The 15,685-nt window shown below is 41.0% G+C and overlaps 1 protein-coding gene and 1 pseudogene across 43 annotated transcripts in view, besides 8 other annotated features; one reads left to right on the forward strand and one right to left on the reverse strand.

Annotated features, from left to right (window-relative positions):
* The window catches only part of PDE4DIP (phosphodiesterase 4D interacting protein), a 224,583-nt gene that overhangs the window by 131,221 nt on the left and 77,677 nt on the right, over positions 1-15,685 (forward strand). For 7 of the 43 annotated variants that reach the window (NM_001395297.1, NM_001350520.2, NM_001395301.1 and 4 more), the window contains exon 1: positions 12,720-14,251. The exons of 31 other annotated variants lie outside the window; for them this stretch is intronic. In NM_001395297.1, the coding sequence (NP_001382226.1) occupies positions 13,127-14,251 (1,125 nt within the window). In that variant the 5' untranslated portion in view covers positions 12,720-13,126. Of the gene's footprint in view, positions 1-2,144; positions 9,852-12,483; positions 12,501-12,719; positions 14,252-15,685 lie in introns of those variants that run through there. 5 more of the 43 variants (NM_001395325.1, NM_001395326.1, NM_001395327.1 and 2 more) reach the window with 2 other exon arrangements.
* RNU2-38P (RNA, U2 small nuclear 38, pseudogene) lies at positions 107-163 on the reverse strand (annotated as a pseudogene).
* Positions 6,296-7,072: an enhancer, noted in NCBI's record as "H3K27ac-H3K4me1 hESC enhancer chr1:144937763-144938539 (GRCh37/hg19 assembly coordinates)". NCBI's record gives its function as "activates a minimal SCP1, AML or CMV promoter by ChIP-STARR-seq in naive H9 embryonic stem cells {active_cell/tissue: H9 hESC(naive)}" and the evidence as "EXISTENCE:reporter gene assay evidence [ECO:0000049][PMID:30033119]".
* Positions 8,000-8,501: an enhancer, noted in NCBI's record as "OCT4-NANOG hESC enhancer chr1:144936334-144936835 (GRCh37/hg19 assembly coordinates)". NCBI's record gives its function as "activates a minimal SCP1, AML or CMV promoter by ChIP-STARR-seq in primed H9 embryonic stem cells {active_cell/tissue: H9 hESC(primed)}" and the evidence as "EXISTENCE:reporter gene assay evidence [ECO:0000049][PMID:30033119]".
* Positions 11,174-11,922: an enhancer, noted in NCBI's record as "H3K27ac hESC enhancer chr1:144932913-144933661 (GRCh37/hg19 assembly coordinates)". NCBI's record gives its function as "activates a minimal SCP1, AML or CMV promoter by ChIP-STARR-seq in naive H9 embryonic stem cells {active_cell/tissue: H9 hESC(naive)}" and the evidence as "EXISTENCE:reporter gene assay evidence [ECO:0000049][PMID:30033119]".
* Positions 11,923-12,672: an enhancer, noted in NCBI's record as "NANOG-H3K27ac-H3K4me1 hESC enhancer chr1:144932163-144932912 (GRCh37/hg19 assembly coordinates)". NCBI's record gives its function as "activates a minimal SCP1, AML or CMV promoter by ChIP-STARR-seq in primed H9 embryonic stem cells {active_cell/tissue: H9 hESC(primed)}" and the evidence as "EXISTENCE:reporter gene assay evidence [ECO:0000049][PMID:30033119]".
* Positions 11,923-13,421: a biological region, named in NCBI's record as "NANOG-H3K27ac-H3K4me1 hESC enhancers GRCh37_chr1:144931414-144932162 and GRCh37_chr1:144932163-144932912".
* Positions 12,592-12,880: a silencer, noted in NCBI's record as "fragment chr1:144931955-144932243 (GRCh37/hg19 assembly coordinates)". NCBI's record gives its function as "represses an EF-1alpha promoter that drives an FKBP-Casp9 reporter gene in an ReSE screen in phorbol 12-myristate 13-acetate-treated (for megakaryocytic differentiation) K562 erythroleukemia cells {active_cell/tissue: K562(+PMA)}" and the evidence as "EXISTENCE:reporter gene assay evidence [ECO:0000049][PMID:32094911]".
* Positions 12,596-12,675: an enhancer, noted in NCBI's record as "active region_1651". NCBI's record gives its function as "activates an Ori minimal core promoter by ATAC-STARR-seq in GM12878 lymphoblastoid cells {active_cell/tissue: GM12878}" and the evidence as "EXISTENCE:reporter gene assay evidence [ECO:0000049][PMID:35858748]".
* Positions 12,673-13,421: an enhancer, noted in NCBI's record as "NANOG-H3K27ac-H3K4me1 hESC enhancer chr1:144931414-144932162 (GRCh37/hg19 assembly coordinates)". NCBI's record gives its function as "activates a minimal SCP1, AML or CMV promoter by ChIP-STARR-seq in primed H9 embryonic stem cells {active_cell/tissue: H9 hESC(primed)}" and the evidence as "EXISTENCE:reporter gene assay evidence [ECO:0000049][PMID:30033119]".

The raw sequence follows: 15,685 nt of genomic DNA on the forward strand, positions 1-15,685 counted from the left end.
AATATGTGGAAATTTTCTTAAGGGACTCTTGAAAATATTTCGTAATACATTTAATTAGAAAAAGCTCAACTGAGAATAAGAAGAATTGAATTTCCATCCTGATTATTTAAGCTGATAAGAACAGATACTACACTTGATCTTAGCCAAAAGGCCGAGAAGCGATTCCATCCTGATTATTTATTAGCTGTATGACTATGGATATGTCACTTCTCAGCTTCCATATACATAAAATGAGAAGATTAGCTCAAATAATCTCTATAGTTTCCTATAATGCTAACATTCTATTTTTATCTTATTTCAGAATTTTATTTCATTCTATTTTAGTTCAGAATTTACATGAATATTATTTCTTTCAAAATGTTCACCTTCTGAAATGAAATCACTTTTATTGCTCCTTTTGTATTTACAGGCACATAAATACTAAAATATTTTGTACATATACTTATTTTCATCATCTTTGGTAAGCACTGAAATGAATATATTTAGTTCAGTATTTTCAATGCTAATTAAGGAATTGGTTTGGTACCAGTTTTCAGAACAGACTTAAAGAACCAAAAGATTATAATTTCAAAGAGACTAAATTATTTATATTCTACTCTAAAAGGATGCTTAGAACAAGAATAAGTACAGCATCCAGGGGATAATATTGCATGACCATTGGGCAGAAGAAATGCATCAAATCATATAAACTGTACTAAATTGATATGCTTTTTAAACATTGCCTAATAAAAATTTATTGTTGTTATTACCCAATACGTTGTACATTTCAAAACCTGATACATTGCGCTGTTTGTTCTATAAGACAATGTTTCCTACCCTTTTTCATAGAAAATTCATTTTCATAGGAAATGAGTGTACATCTATGGTATTCTGAAATAAGTGCCCATGGCTGCTCATGGTTTGAGGCAATTGCTTATGGCCACCTCAGGACCCATGCACCACCCTGAGAGCTGAGGGGATCAGCATCTTTGCACAGTGGTGGACCATGCTGAGGTACACTGTGCTGGAATACCCAAGTTGGAAAGCTCTGCCACAGGAGGCCGCTGATAGTTGGTCCTCTCAAGTGTGGAGAATAGAAAGCCTCCCATAGCATATTTCCTTGTTTCTCCCTTTGGGTCTACGTCTTATGGGAAAAAAAATTGGGCCCAAGGACTGGTAGTGTCTTCCCTCAATTTACATAGTAGTTTAATTCATGGAAAAATTTAGTGTAAATTAACATCATGCTCCTATATAAAGTTCTAGGTTCAGATGATTGTAAACAGTTTTATCATCACCCAATGGAACATTCAAATTCCAAAAGTCATTTGGAATTTGGTACAATACTTTGTCCTGTAACATCCCTTGCCTCACTTATCATCGTGACAACATCAAAAACAAGAAACACCCCCACAAAATTTCAAAATGCTCTCTAGGAGATGAGACAGTTGCTCAGTGAGTACCACTAGTATAGGGAGTCCTAGCCTTCCAAAGGTTTATAGTCCAGTGAAAGACTGGTATGTAAACAAAGAACTAAAATACAGTGTGATAAATGAGGAGACAGAAATACACGCATGGTGCTAAAGGAACCCACAGCTGAAAGGAATTAACTCCAAGGAGGAACTCACCTGGAGGTCACCCTTCTGTTGGGCCTTAAAGACTGGATACACCAGGCAGAAAATAGGAAACGGAGCAATATATACAGTGATGTGGAACACAGCTAAGGAATTGGGAGTAATCGATGTTACCAAAAATAAGTATTGGAGAATGATAAAATATATAGCTGGAAAGTACCATAAATGTTGAGCTAAGGGCTTCATGTTGTAGGCACCAGAAAAAAAAAAAGCAAGGGGAATAAAAGCATATGATTTGCATTTAGAAAGGTAATCCTAGTTGTCGTGGAAACTGAGGATTGCTTGAAGAGCATCTGAGATAATTGATGTCACCTCCTCAGAGAGCAAATCATAATCTGACACAGCTATGAACTGCTTTGTCAAGTCTGTTCTTTGAATTGGTTGGGGAAAAGAATATTATAAAACCAATTACAAAGCACTTTGTCTCTCCCCTCTGCATAGGTAATGTATGGTGAACCTTGCTATTTGTGACACTTGGAGCCTATGTTGTGGGTGTTATCCTTCTCTGCTAACAGTATACTTTCACTGTAACAGTTATAGTTCCACTGTATTCTACTCAAACCTTGTCTGCCATGCCAACTGTCACCACAGAAGAAAGACCCTTACAATGTGGAAGGTAAAAGTTCAATTTCTAAGCTCTGGGCCTGTTCTTCAGAGGCTAAAGAATCTCCTCATCTCCAGTGAAGCCATCCCTGGAATCCCTCACTGATTCAGCTGGAGTATGGAGGAGCTTAAGTTCTAAAGACCTATTCACTTCCTTTAATTCCACCTATACTTCACAACTGAGAATACCACAAACAGTTGGGCCCTAGAAGAAAGAAGAGCTCACAGATCTTGCACTTCTAGGTCTGAATTGTCCAAGTGAAGAACGCTAATTTACTCCACATCCCACAGATAACTATCTCTCAAGTGATCCCAGTATGAAAGTCTGGAGTATGAGTATAATATACTCACTGTAATATCTGAGTACAGGAAGTTCACTTCAGAGTCTTCATTCTCTCAAATAAGACAGACACTTTTGATAAAGATTATTTTATTTAATTGATCTTACAGTCTTTCTAGCTGTTTTCCTTTTCCATTCTACCAAAACATTCTACAACATTCATTTTAGTGGGAGTGCACTTGCACAGTATTTATGAACGTCTATAATTAACTTCTTGTAAAGCAAAAAAAGTACCACCAACTAGATATGCCATTGACTGACATCATTCCATATCTCCTTCCAATCCTTCTTGATGTCCATTCAGATCAATAGTATGTGTGATCAGAGTGTTGAGGAGCTTTTTGATGTGAGGCTGTGACATCTTGTCCACATCTTTTTCACTAGGGAGTCAGAAAATCTAATAAAGTTTACAAAGCATTTTTCTCTTCCTCAGTAAAGGTATCTACAAAGTTGCAGGGAAAAGCTAGCAATTGTTTCAGTTATTGATATTATTTCCTTCTACAGAATGTTAGAAGCTTCATCTCAATGAAGGTTTTAAATGAAACCAGACCTGGAGGGTGTGAAGGCAGAAAAAATGATGCCCTTGCAAAGGGAGGTCTGGAGGAATTCTTGTTTTGTTTGTCGCCTTTTTTCTCTCTCTGCATTTCTCCTTCAGTATAAGATGAGCAAAATTTATTAACATGTAATCTCACTGTGGTTGGCTTATAAAATGAGACAGGATAACACAATTAGGGAGAGGCCCACATTAAGTAAGTGAGACCTTCCCACTCACACAAATTAGCACAGTCAAGCTGTTGCATTTATGCCTTGTTTGGAACTTAATGTAAATAGTACTGCATGCAGTGAGGCATATTTCCTAAAATAGCAAACATTCCTGCGTTACCATGGAGAGATCTGACTTGGAGGTTAAGGCAAGAATGTGCTCTAAATGCTCAAGGCAGAGACTGAAAACCTTGCAGTGATTAGTAGCTCAGGCAGCTCCGGACAACTTCATATGAGATTTTTTTTTAGAGTAGCTTTTCAGTATCCCCTTCTTTTGCTGATGAATGTTGAAGCTGGAGACTCATTTACAAATCCCCGTTCAACATTACTGTCTCCCAGACAACCTTCATTAATAATGTGTCTCTGAAGCAGGCCTTAGCAGCTAAAGCAATCATTGCTCTAATCCTTTTGAGCAGCAAAGGAAGTGGAAAAATAGGCAGCTGCTTTACAACTTAATCAAAAATATTTACTGAGCACTTGTAATGCACAAGGTACTGTTAGGTGAAGGAAGAAGAACACAAAGATGTGCAGGATTTAGTCTCTACCTTCTAGAGATTACAATAGGAGAAAGTCACTGATGAAAAAAATACAAGGCAGTACAGAAAGGAAAAATCATCATGGACTGGGGTCAGAAGCAAAGATTTTGGTCTCTGAGGAATGAGTAGGATTTTACTAAGTAGATATGAAAAGGAAAGGCATTTCTTTATTCATTCATTCAATGATTATTGAGATCTAGAAAGATACTGTTCCAAATACTTCAGAAGCAGTCTTAGTCCACTCAGGCTGCTATAACAGAATACCATAGACTGAGTGGCTTATAAACAATAGAAATTCATTTCTCACAGTTCTGGAGGCTGGGAAGTCCAAGATCAAGGCACTGGCATTTTCAGTGTCTGGTGAGGGCCCACTTTCTGGTTTATGGATTTCCTGCTGTGTCTTCACATGGTAGAAGGGATTAGCTAACTCTCTGAGGTCTCTTTTTATAAGGACACTAATCTCTCCCAAAGCCCCCACCTCCTAATACCATTATGTTGGGGGTTAGGATTTCAACATATGAATTTGGAGGGGAATACAAACTTTCAAACCATAGCAGATACCAAGATGAGAAAGCTGTGGTTCCTTTTCTTAAGTAGCTTACCAGCTAATGGGGAGAACGCAGTATGGAGAAATGACATACAAGTTACTATAGGTACAAAAAAGTATTTTGGAAGATGGAAGAAGAGAAAGATGTCTTTTGGTGGTACTCAGAAAGGCAGCTTGGAGGAAATACTTGAAGGGTGGATAGGATTTTGATAGGTGGAGGTGGTAGTGATAGAAAAGAATATTCCAAGTGTATGAAGTATAGAGGTGGGGAAGTTCAGGGTAGAGAAGTAGTAGCAGGAATAGAATATAGGGGGACAGAAAAATAGAGTGGAGCCAGATTCAGAGAACTTTAAGAAGCAGGTAAAGAAGTTTAGGATTAATGGACAAGTCATTGGGTCTCCAGGTTTCTTTGAGGGAGAGTGATATCTGAGCTCTGTTTTAGAAAGATTAATCTGAAAGGAGGATAGAGTAGAGGGCAAAGAAATTGAGGGGACTCATTATTTTAGCACTCTTGTTACTTAAGATATGAAGTCATTAGGGCCAGGCATGGTGGCTCACACCTGTAATCCCAGCACTTTGGGAGGCCGAGGTGGGAGGATCATGAGGTCAAGAGTTTGAGACCAGCCTGGCCAACACGGTGAAACCCTGTCTCTACTAAGAATACAAAAATTAGCCAGGTGTGGTGACGCGTGCCTGTAATCCCAGCTACTGGGGAGGCTGAGGCAGGAGAATTGCTTGAACCCGGGAGGTGGAGGTTGTAGTGAGCCAAGATAGTGCCACTGCACTCCATCCTGGGCAACACAGCAAGTCTCCGTCTCGGAAAAAAACAAAACAAAACAAAGATATGAAGTCATTGGAGGGTAAGGAAGGATGAAAGTTTTGTGCTAAGGCAAAAGACCAAAATAAAATTTTAATATATAATAGTTCATTTTCTCATTCATACATTCTATTCAATAACAATTGAGTGCCTACCATGACTAGGCAATGGTGCTGTCATGGTAGGCACTAGAGAATTACCTTCTATGGAAGGAGGCAGATAAATAAGCAGATAATGAAACAAATATATAACTTCAAATTGTGATAAATACATTGAAGAAAGCAAAGAGCAGGAATTGGTAGACTTTTTCTGTATAGGGCCAGATAGTAAATAAGCTTTGCAGGCTGTAAAGTTTCTGCCATTGTTGCATAAAAACAGCCACACACAACACATAAGAATGAACATGGCTGTGTTCCAACAAAACTGTATTTGCACAAACAGGTGGGGGCTGGATTTGGTCCACAGTCCATAGTTTTCTGACTCCTCATATAAAGTATTAGGAGGAAAGGGAGGCACTTTAAACAAGGGGAAGACAACAGTCAGGAGATCAGTCTTTCCTACGGTAATTTTGAGATGTCTATGACACATCCACATGCAGATATCAAATAGGTAACCAGGTATTTGAGAGTGGCACTCAGATGAGAATTCTACAATAAAAACATAAATTGGAAGCCACTGGTATAAAGATGGGAAAGGATGAGATGACACCAGAAGAGAATAGAGAGGTGAAAAGGGTCTAGGACTGAGCACCAATGAACAAAAGTTCATAGTGTATGACTCTTAGTTCATAAATCTAAGGTAGTCATCAATTTAAAGCCCCTGTCTGAATCAGGATGGTGAGAAATTCAATTTCATACGTTTGATATTTCCTCCTCTCCCTACTTTCTCAGCTATTTAAAGGTCCCTAGGTTTTACCTGGTACCAAAGCACCAAGGAGACTACTCTGATCGTTGATCTGCCACTAAACCACCCCTGCCTCAGTAAGCATGGTTTTGCCAACCCTAGAAGCTTGCTATATTTAACCTTTTATGGAGCCAGAATCCCCTGCTAAAGTGCAGCCTCTCCAAGTCACCCCATTACTTCCCTCTCTGAGGTCCTGCTGCTTCTCCAGGGCACTGATATGGAATGGAGGTGGGTACTTGTTACTCTTTGACCTCCAGTCTCTTTCCATCTGTGTGAAATGTCACTCTCTCCTCTTCGCTGACTTCAAAAACTTTTCTCTCTCCTCTCTTCCCCAATGGGACATCTGGCTCAATCTTTGCAGTGGGCTTAGAATTTCATAAAAGTCTAGAAATGCAGTTGGCTTCAAACAGCCTCTGCTCTTTGCTCTGCAAAAGTTCCAGAGTCAAGGGAATGCTAAGGGCTTAACCATCAGATTAGAAAAGAGGGAAGCAGAGGGCCAGGCGCGGTGGCTCACGCATATAATCCCAGCACTTTGGGAGGCCAGGAGTTCAAGGCCAGCCTGGCCAACACGGTGAAACCTCATCTCTATTGAAAAAAATAAATAAATAAATAACAAAATTAGCTGGGTGTGGTGGCGCATGCCTATAATCCCAGCTACTCAGGAAGCTGAGGCAGGAGAATCTCTTGAACCTGGGAGGCAGAGGTTGCAGTGAGTCGAGATTGTGCCATTGCACTCCAGCCTGGGGGACAAGAGCAAGACTTCGTCTCAAAAAAAAAAAAAAAAAGGAAGTACCATCCATCCTGTTGCCTGGGTAATCTTCCTAAAAAAAGGTTTTCATCATGTCATTGTCTGCTTAAATCCATAACATTAAGTCCAAATTCTTTTGCCTTTGTCAAAACATTAACCAAATTCTAATTGGCAAGGCACTCCATAGCATAGTGTCTGGCTTACAGTTGGCTCTTGATACATGTTCTTTGAATGAACAACTATAGAGGATTAGATGTATGGATGGATGAACCTGGTCATTCAAAAATCCCCAACATCTCTCTTTACCTACAGGCTAGCACTGTGTTTAACCCAAGTTCCGTGGCTTTTAATGAAGCTATTTTATTTTGCTGAGTCCCTTCCTTGGCCTTCTTCATCCTAACACCCATCTCAAGTGCCACTCTTGTCCCTTCAACTATACCAGCCCATACTAACCTCTACTTTTTCTGTATTCACACTAAATTTAATTCAGTACCATTTAGTTTACCAGTCAATTGTTCTAACTGTAGCGTGCACCTTTTCTCCCTTTTAACTAAACTGAAAGCTCATTGAAGAGAGAAAAAAAGGTATGTTTGCATTCTTGCTCATTGATTGATTTAACAAATACTTTAAAATTTACTTAACAACCTATGCGTATTTAATAACTTGAAAGACTCTAATGTTTACTATTAGATGGATTTTGCTGAGAAGCATACTACTATAATCTGCAGATGAACCGGAAATCTCCTGGCTTTAAAACAAGCATTTCAAGATGCTGTGTTGTTAATTAATGGAAAGCATGATTGTTTCTGACTTCTTAAAGGTTTCCAAAGAGCACAGGGAAATCACGCAACTGCCTGTGTGTTACCACAAAGCCTAACTGGCTTTACTTTGACATTCTTGCATTTTCTCATCTGCCTTAGTTTCTCTGCCAGAATCACATTTTTCTTTTGGTGCATAGTTTTTAGTAATTAGAATAGCTATTTCCAATGTCATAACTAGGGCAGTGAAACCTAATACAACTGGTTTGGGACATGGGGATTTTCCACCTCTCCAATTCTTTTGGAAACTCCCTCTCAGCCCAGAAGTAGGTCTTAGAAACACTACAACCCAGTTGCCACACAGGGGGTGCAAAAGTGACTATGGTGACTGCAAAATTTAGAGGTCAAAACAGAGATAGTGCAAAACACCCCATACCACAGTAATATTTAGAAATCTTGTTCCACATGCGGATACAGTTCTCTAAATTCAACATAGATTTTGTAAGTAGTTCTTCATTGGTGTGCTTTTCTGTCTATCTGCAGAAGTTCTGATCTGTTGTCTGATACAGCTTAGGATAGTTCTCATTCAGTGGTTTTCAAAGTGTGATTCCCAGATAGCAGCATCAACATGATCTGGGAACTTGTCAGGAATGCAAATTCTTGAGCCCCACCCCAGACCTTATTGTGTCAGAAACTCAAGGGGGTAGGTCCCAACAATTTATGTTAACAAGCCCTCCAGGTGATTCTGATGCATGCTTAAGTTTGAAAACTGCTGTTTAAATTCAACATATTTCATTGTAGATTAGGAAATTAAAAGCCAGATATAAGTGACTTAACCTAGGCCATAAAGCAAGTAAATGCTTGTAAATGTATTTATTAATCAATGTTCAGGGTGAACTGTTGATATATAAAATTAATAATTTGTTTAATCATAATATGAAGCTTATTCTCAAACTTTTCGTTATGTGCCTTCACTACGTTTTAGAAGTAATAATTTTATACTACATCATTACAAAAGCCCTAAGTCTCACCTTAACAACATGCCTTCCTCCAATCATAAGTGTTTGGTGTACATATGCATATAAAATATTATCCTAAGGTGGGGCGCAGTGGAACCCGGGAGGCAGAGGTTGCAGTGAGCCGAGATTGTGCCACTGCACTCCAGCCTGGGTGACACAGTGAGTCTCCGTCTCAAAAAAAAAAAAAAACTCATATGGATAGGCTTAAGTTTTTAATTTGCAATTGGGTCTTTTACAGAATTTCTTCTGGGCTATATTTTATAGCATTTCCCTAATTTTCAAAACTGTTCTTAAAGTGCGGGTGACTTTCTACCAAAGAAATCCCTCAAATTAAAATTTTGAGGGAAACACATAGTTTTATTTACTCCTTTTAATCTTTTTAATTGAAATATACTATGTATACAATCTACAGATCTAAGTGCCCAGTTCAATGAGCTTCAACAATTCTATACACCTATGTTATCTTCATCCAAAACAAGATACAGAACAGCTTCATCACCTCAGAAAATTTCTTTGTGCCCCTTTGCAATCACTTCTCACCCTGTCTCTCACCGTTCAACCACTTCCTGACTTATATCACAATAGATCTGTTTTTCCTATAGTCTGTTATTAGACTTCAGACAATATCAGGTGCATTCAGGGTAGTACGGCTGTAGACCTGTTGTCAGACTTCAAATAAATGGAATCACACAGGATGTACTCATTTGCATATGGCTTGTTTCACTTAAAATGTTTTCAAGATGTATCCACGTTGCATGTATCTGAGTTCATTCTTTTTGATCGCTGGCTAGTACTGTATTGTATTGTATGAATACACCAAAATGTGTTTCATCTACCTTTTTCTTAGTAACAATTATATTTTTTTCTTTTTATATATTTAAGTACAAAAGCAGTAAGTACTTAAAGTTATTTAAAGTATGTAATACATAATGTAAAAAATTATAGAAAATAAGGAAAAAAGAAAATAAATGTCCATAATTCCACTCTCTAGACATAACCATTACTAATAACTTGTGGATCCCCTTTGAACTTTTGTTTATATAAGTTATCTTCTTATATTATATATTTATCATAGGTAGTATAAAAATTCTTATTTTAGGTTCAAGTTTTACCACTTAGACCCTGACATTAGTGTGTTAAATTGGCAGCCCTTATTTTAACTATAAAATGTTTTCTAAATTAAATAAAATCTAAAATTAATACCTGAATAAACATTCATTGTCCAAAATTCAAATGATACACAGTATGTAGAATAAAAAGTAAATGTCCTTGTGTAGCCCCACCATAGGTAACCAGTTCAACTGCAAACTCTTGACCACAAGATAATAATGGTAAGGACCAAGGAGTGCAAAATTGATTATCACATAATTTTTGTTTTATTTTTAAATTTTTATTTTCACGTTTTATTATCTACATACCAGTGATCTTTTAATTGGGAACATCTTATTTTATAATGCCAAATGCTCACACAGGGACTAATTCTAGTACAATAGCTTATATCCACTTTGAGATACAGTTTTGAACTATTTTCTCTGGAAGTGAACAGAGTGCCATCTTCGAATATTCTGATTGCTGAGTAGTTTATTCCCATCTGTTTTTGGAAGTCTAGATATGTATAGCTTTCTTAGTATATTGATCTTTACTTAAAGCAAACATATTCTTCAATGGCAAATTGCCTTTTCTCCATTTGTATTGACCTGTATGTCTACACCAAGCTATCTATATACTGTCATTACAATTTGGAGACTATCAGTTAGATGCAAAATCCTTTTGAGGAACAGAGAATAACCCAAAATATAATTCAGGGTTTGCTCTTGAAGAGCACTTTGTTTCATTCACATTTTCCTAATAGGAAAATGTGGCTTGCATTGACAGTAAAAAATGAGATCTTTATTATACTTAAGACTGGGTACAGCAGGGTAGTGTCCTGGCAGGCAGTCTGTCTTTCCATCAGTCAGGGTGAGTCCAGAAACTTTGCCTTTCTATAGATCACCATAGATTCCAAAGCATGTTGCTTAATTTCTTCCAACTTTGAAGCTCACATACCTAGAGGCAGGCAAAAATGCAGCTGTGGTTTTACTTGAACTGCTTTTCTATTCTTGGTTTTTGAGTCAGAATATACATAGTAGATGAAATTACATATGCAAAATTCTATAGCCTATGATATTAGGCCATTCTTGCATTGCTATACATACTTGAGACCAGGTAATGTATAAAGAAAAGAGGTTTAATTGGCTCACAGTTCTGCAGGCTTTATAGGAAGCATGGTGCTGGTATCTGCTTGGCTTCTGGGGAGGCTTCAGGAAGGCGAAGGGGGAGCAAACAAGTCACATGGCCAGAGCAGGAGCAAGATGGAGCGGTGGAGGCACCACACACTTTTAAATGACCAGATCTCAGAAAAACTCACTCTCTATTGCAAAGGTAGCACAAACCCATGAGGGATCTGCCCCCCCCACCGCCCCAAACACCTCCCACCAGGCCCCACCTCCAACACTGGGGATTACAATTCAACATGAGATTTGGTGGGGCCATATATTCAAATCATATCACCTACTAAGCCCAAAGCTCTAAGAACTGTCCTTTTCTCTTACAATGGAGCTACAAGATTTTGCTTTGGTGATTAAGAGAACAATACAATCTTATGTAGGCAGGGCCCCATAATGTTTTAAAGTTACTGAAAATATTCCAATTCATAGTAAAATAATAATATTAGCTATTATTTAATGAGCGAAACACGGTTAAAGCATTTCCTCAAAATCATCTCATTTAGTCTTCAATAAGAAGTTTGGGGGCTTATTATGAACTCTCAGAGATGGCATTTGGATGTCTTCAGGCTTAGGAGTATGGACTCTGTCCTGGGGATGAGGTTCAGAAAAACTTAGATGTTGCTGGCCTTAGCTTACAAGGTCAAGTTAGTAAAAATTTAGCATGATTAGAACTGGGAAATGTCCTGCTCTAGGGGACTGCAAGTGATTGCTGAGGTTGTTCCTCTTGTTACGTGTCTGAATGCCTCTCAAGCCAGGAAGATAATTCCTTATTAAAAATGGCCGGAGGTACCAGCATTCTACCTAGTCAGGGCTCCAGCTTCCCTCCTCTTTGTGTGCAATCTAAGTTTTGGACCCAAGGGTGGAGGACCTATCACTGTACAATGCTGAGTAAGACATGGTTTTCACCGAAGTCAGTGAAGTTCCCAGTCCTTTCTGGCGCGAGCTGCATTCCCAGACACTCCAGCTCTTACGGAAAGAAGCACTGTCTTTTGCGCTAGTGTTTGTCTACCGTCCCCTGTCCTAAAATAATGACTGCCCTCTACCTGAGGGAAAGGGACTTCAATGGTGGTAATCTACTCGCGGCTGGCTGCATCCTTAAAAAAGCCCATTTCTCTTCTACTATCTTCAAGATCTTGGTTAACCAGATTCACATTGTATGTGCCGGACTCTTTCTCAGGTGACTGCTCTGTGCTTTTTTATCTAAAGAAGGGCAAGTCACCCACGGGTACTAACCCTCCCCCACCCACATCAAGGGAGAAACACTCCTCTACTCTTTTCTGGACATTCCTGTTCAGAGTCGAGGTAAGGGTTGCACGGCCCCGCCCCTCCGTTACCAAGCCTTCCCTCGCCTGCCTCGCAGCCTCAGGCCCTTAGAACCCAGGCGGGGCGGGGCCGGGAAAGGTGAGGCTGCTGGCGGGAAGCGGGGGCGGCGCGCAGCGGTACCTAGCGGCGCTGCCCCGCTGGCAGCCGGAGGACGTGGCACTGTCCGAGAATGCAGGGAGGGGATTCGTCTTTCTCCTCCCCGCGAGGAGGAGCCTCGACATCCTGCAGAGGCGGGAGGATCCTTGAGGGCACTGGTGCGACTTTCAGGTGAGGTCTTAGCAGATGAAAGCGGCTGGCTGTGGCCCGCGCCAGTAGTGCTTTCTGCTCCGCACTCGCCGTGAGCCAGGTGTGCAACCGGATTTGGGGCGAGGGTCGCGCTGGCTACCTCGCATGCGCAGAGCCGGAAGCCCGCTGACCGGACTACAGCTCCCAGAAGAGCCTTGTGGAGGCCGCAGACGCGAAGCCGCTGGCGCCATCTTGAAATCTGATCCTCCATCCCCGAGGCTTTGCGTCTGCGCGGCCGGCCGCTGCTGCTCCGGGAGCCCAGTCTGCTAAAAGGGGAGGACGTTGAGGACGCGGCGGCTGGCGGGAGAGACAGCTGGGGAGAGACATGGCAGGGTCGGAGCGCGGCCTGCGCCTCTGTCACTCAGCATCCTCTTAGGCGTTTCCACGCCCGCCCCCTGCCCGAGGGGCGGGGCTGACGGCTCTGGTACCCGGAGTCGGCGCGCGGGGCAGGGGCGCGCCCCTGCAGAGTGGGGACCCCACTGGGCTGTGCCATGCTGACCGGAGACCACCGAGGCGGGAGACAGAGCGCGGCGAAGAGCCATTGAGTGGTCACCCAGTAGCCGCCGCCGCCGCCGCCTCGGGAAGCTTGCCACCCGCTAGGAGGGAAGATGAAGGAGATTTGCAGGATCTGTGCCCGAGAGCTGTGTGGAAACCAGCGGCGCTGGATCTTCCACACGGCGTCCAAGCTCAATCTCCAGGTTCTGCTTTCGCACGTCTTGGGCAAGGATGTCCCCCGCGATGGCAAAGCCGAGTTCGCTTGCAGCAAGTGTGCTTTCATGCTTGATCGAATCTATCGATTCGACACAGTTATTGCCCGGATTGAAGCGCTTTCTATTGAGCGCTTGCAAAAGCTGCTACTGGAGAAGGATCGCCTCAAGTTCTGCATTGCCAGTATGTATCGGAAGAATAACGATGACTCTGGCGCGGAGATCAAGGCGGGGAATGGGACGGTTGACATGTCCGTCTTACCCGATGCGAGATACTCTGCACTGCTCCAGGAGGACTTCGCCTATTCAGGGTTTGAGTGCTGGGTGGAGAATGAGGATCAGATCCAGGAGCCACACAGCTGCCATGGTTCAGAAGGCCCTGGAAACCGACCCAGGAGATGCCGTGGTTGTGCCGCTTTGCGGGTTGCTGATTCTGACTATGAAGCCATTTGTAAGGTACCTCGAAAGGTGGCCAGAAGTATCTCCTGCGGCCCTTCTAGCAGGTGGTCGACCAGCATTTGCACTGAAGAACCAGCGTTGTCTGAGGTTGGGCCACCCGACTTAGCAAGCACAAAGGTACCCCCAGATGGAGAAAGCATGGAGGAAGAGACGCCTGGTTCCTCTGTGGAATCTTTGGATGCAAGCGTCCAGGCTAGCCCTCCACAACAGAAAGATGAGGAGACTGAGAGAAGTGCAAAGGAACTTGGAAAGTGTGACTGTTGTTCAGATGATCAGGCTCCGCAGCATGGGTGTAATCACAAGCTGGAATTAGCTCTTAGCATGATTAAAGGTCTTGATTATAAGCCCATCCAGAGCCCCCGAGGGAGCAGGCTTCCGATTCCAGTGAAATCCAGCCTACCTGGAGCCAAGCCTGGCCCTAGCATGACAGATGGAGTTAGTTCCGGTTTCCTTAACAGGTCTTTGAAACCCCTTTACAAGACACCTGTGAGTTATCCCTTGGAGCTTTCAGACCTGCAGGAGCTGTGGGATGATCTCTGTGAAGATTATTTGCCGCTCCGGGTCCAGGTATACAAAACGGCTACATAGTGCCTTTCTGATTATAGCTAGCTGGCCTCTGGCTTCACGTGATTTCGGTCTAGGTGGAGGTTAGAAATATTCTGGACTTGAGAAAATTAGTCATGACCCCATTTTTGCTGCACCTTTTGCTCTGTCTCATTTAGTAAACGTGATTTGCACTCAGATAATTTGATTTTCACAATCCTTTTTGTAAAATCTGTTGACTTTCCCATTATCAAAATTGTATACCTTTTAAAACAAAAAGGTAAAGATTCCTACTTCACTTTTTTCCTATAAAAAGAAGACATTTAATCTCATTTCTGGCACTAGAACTTTTCCTCTTACCTCTTTTTTTTTTCCAACTTTTAAAATTTGTTCTTGTTTTCAGATTTATAGACGTTTCCTCCCAATGGTTTTCTGTAAGGCAGTTAGTTCTCTAGTTAGTTCTTCCTGGAGCATTAAAGCCTTCATCCGCAAAATGCCTGTAAATGATTAGAGCATAAGGTAAAAGGTTTGGGGAAAGCCTATTAATCCACCAGTAAAGTATTATAACATCTGGACCATATTAATTAGAATTAATAGTTCATTTGAGGATTAGTGATGACTCATTCATAAAAGAGACAGGAATTCAAGTATTCAAGTACAGTATTGTCAGTCAAAAGATTAAGGCATAAACTGTTCACAGCCAGAACTCTACTGAGTTCTACTGGAAGATATTTGATATTAAGAAAGGATTAACCCATTATTGGATCAGAGGAGAGTTTCATTCATTATAGTCTTGAATTCTTAATTGCTTAATTTGAGCTATTCGTGTCTGCCCAATTGATTCTGTACCAACCTTTTAAATTCAACTATGGTAGTTTGTTTCTATAGCAACAGTAAATGCTAGCTTCAATAAACTTTGTGAAACATTCTGGCATGTTCCACTTGATACAACTTATTTAACAATACTGTCACAAAGGTAGATGTGATCTAGAAGGCATTTTTTAGAAAGCCTGCTACTGGTCAACGTCATTCCAGAAATTTAGAGCTTGATAAGTGACATTGTTGATGGCCACTTGAAATTTTTGGAAAGTAGTTCTATGGTATGTATACTGTCTATCACAATAAGAACCTAAGCAGAAAACAGGAGAAAAGTTTTTAAATTTACACAAAATTATGAGAAGCAGCATAGATGAGAAACAGCATAGATGAAAGTGTCATGAAAGGTAAAAAGTCAGTGCATTTTCATTTTGTATAAAATGTTAAGCACTGTATGCTTAACACTGTGTACTTCTTTTCTTTTGCTTTTTCTTTCAGTGGAGCCTCGCAGCTAAATTTGGGCTTTACAGTATTTCTGTGACTAGACATAGGTGTTACAAATTAAACATGGTGTTTTCATATTAGGGTCTAAAATTAGTTGGGCCAGGATGGATGGGAAATAAACTCGTCCCCCCAGCCCGC

Source organism: Homo sapiens, chromosome 1 (assembly GCF_000001405.40).
Source record: "Homo sapiens chromosome 1, GRCh38.p14 Primary Assembly".
Classification (NCBI taxonomy): Eukaryota; Metazoa; Chordata; class Mammalia; order Primates; family Hominidae; genus Homo; species Homo sapiens.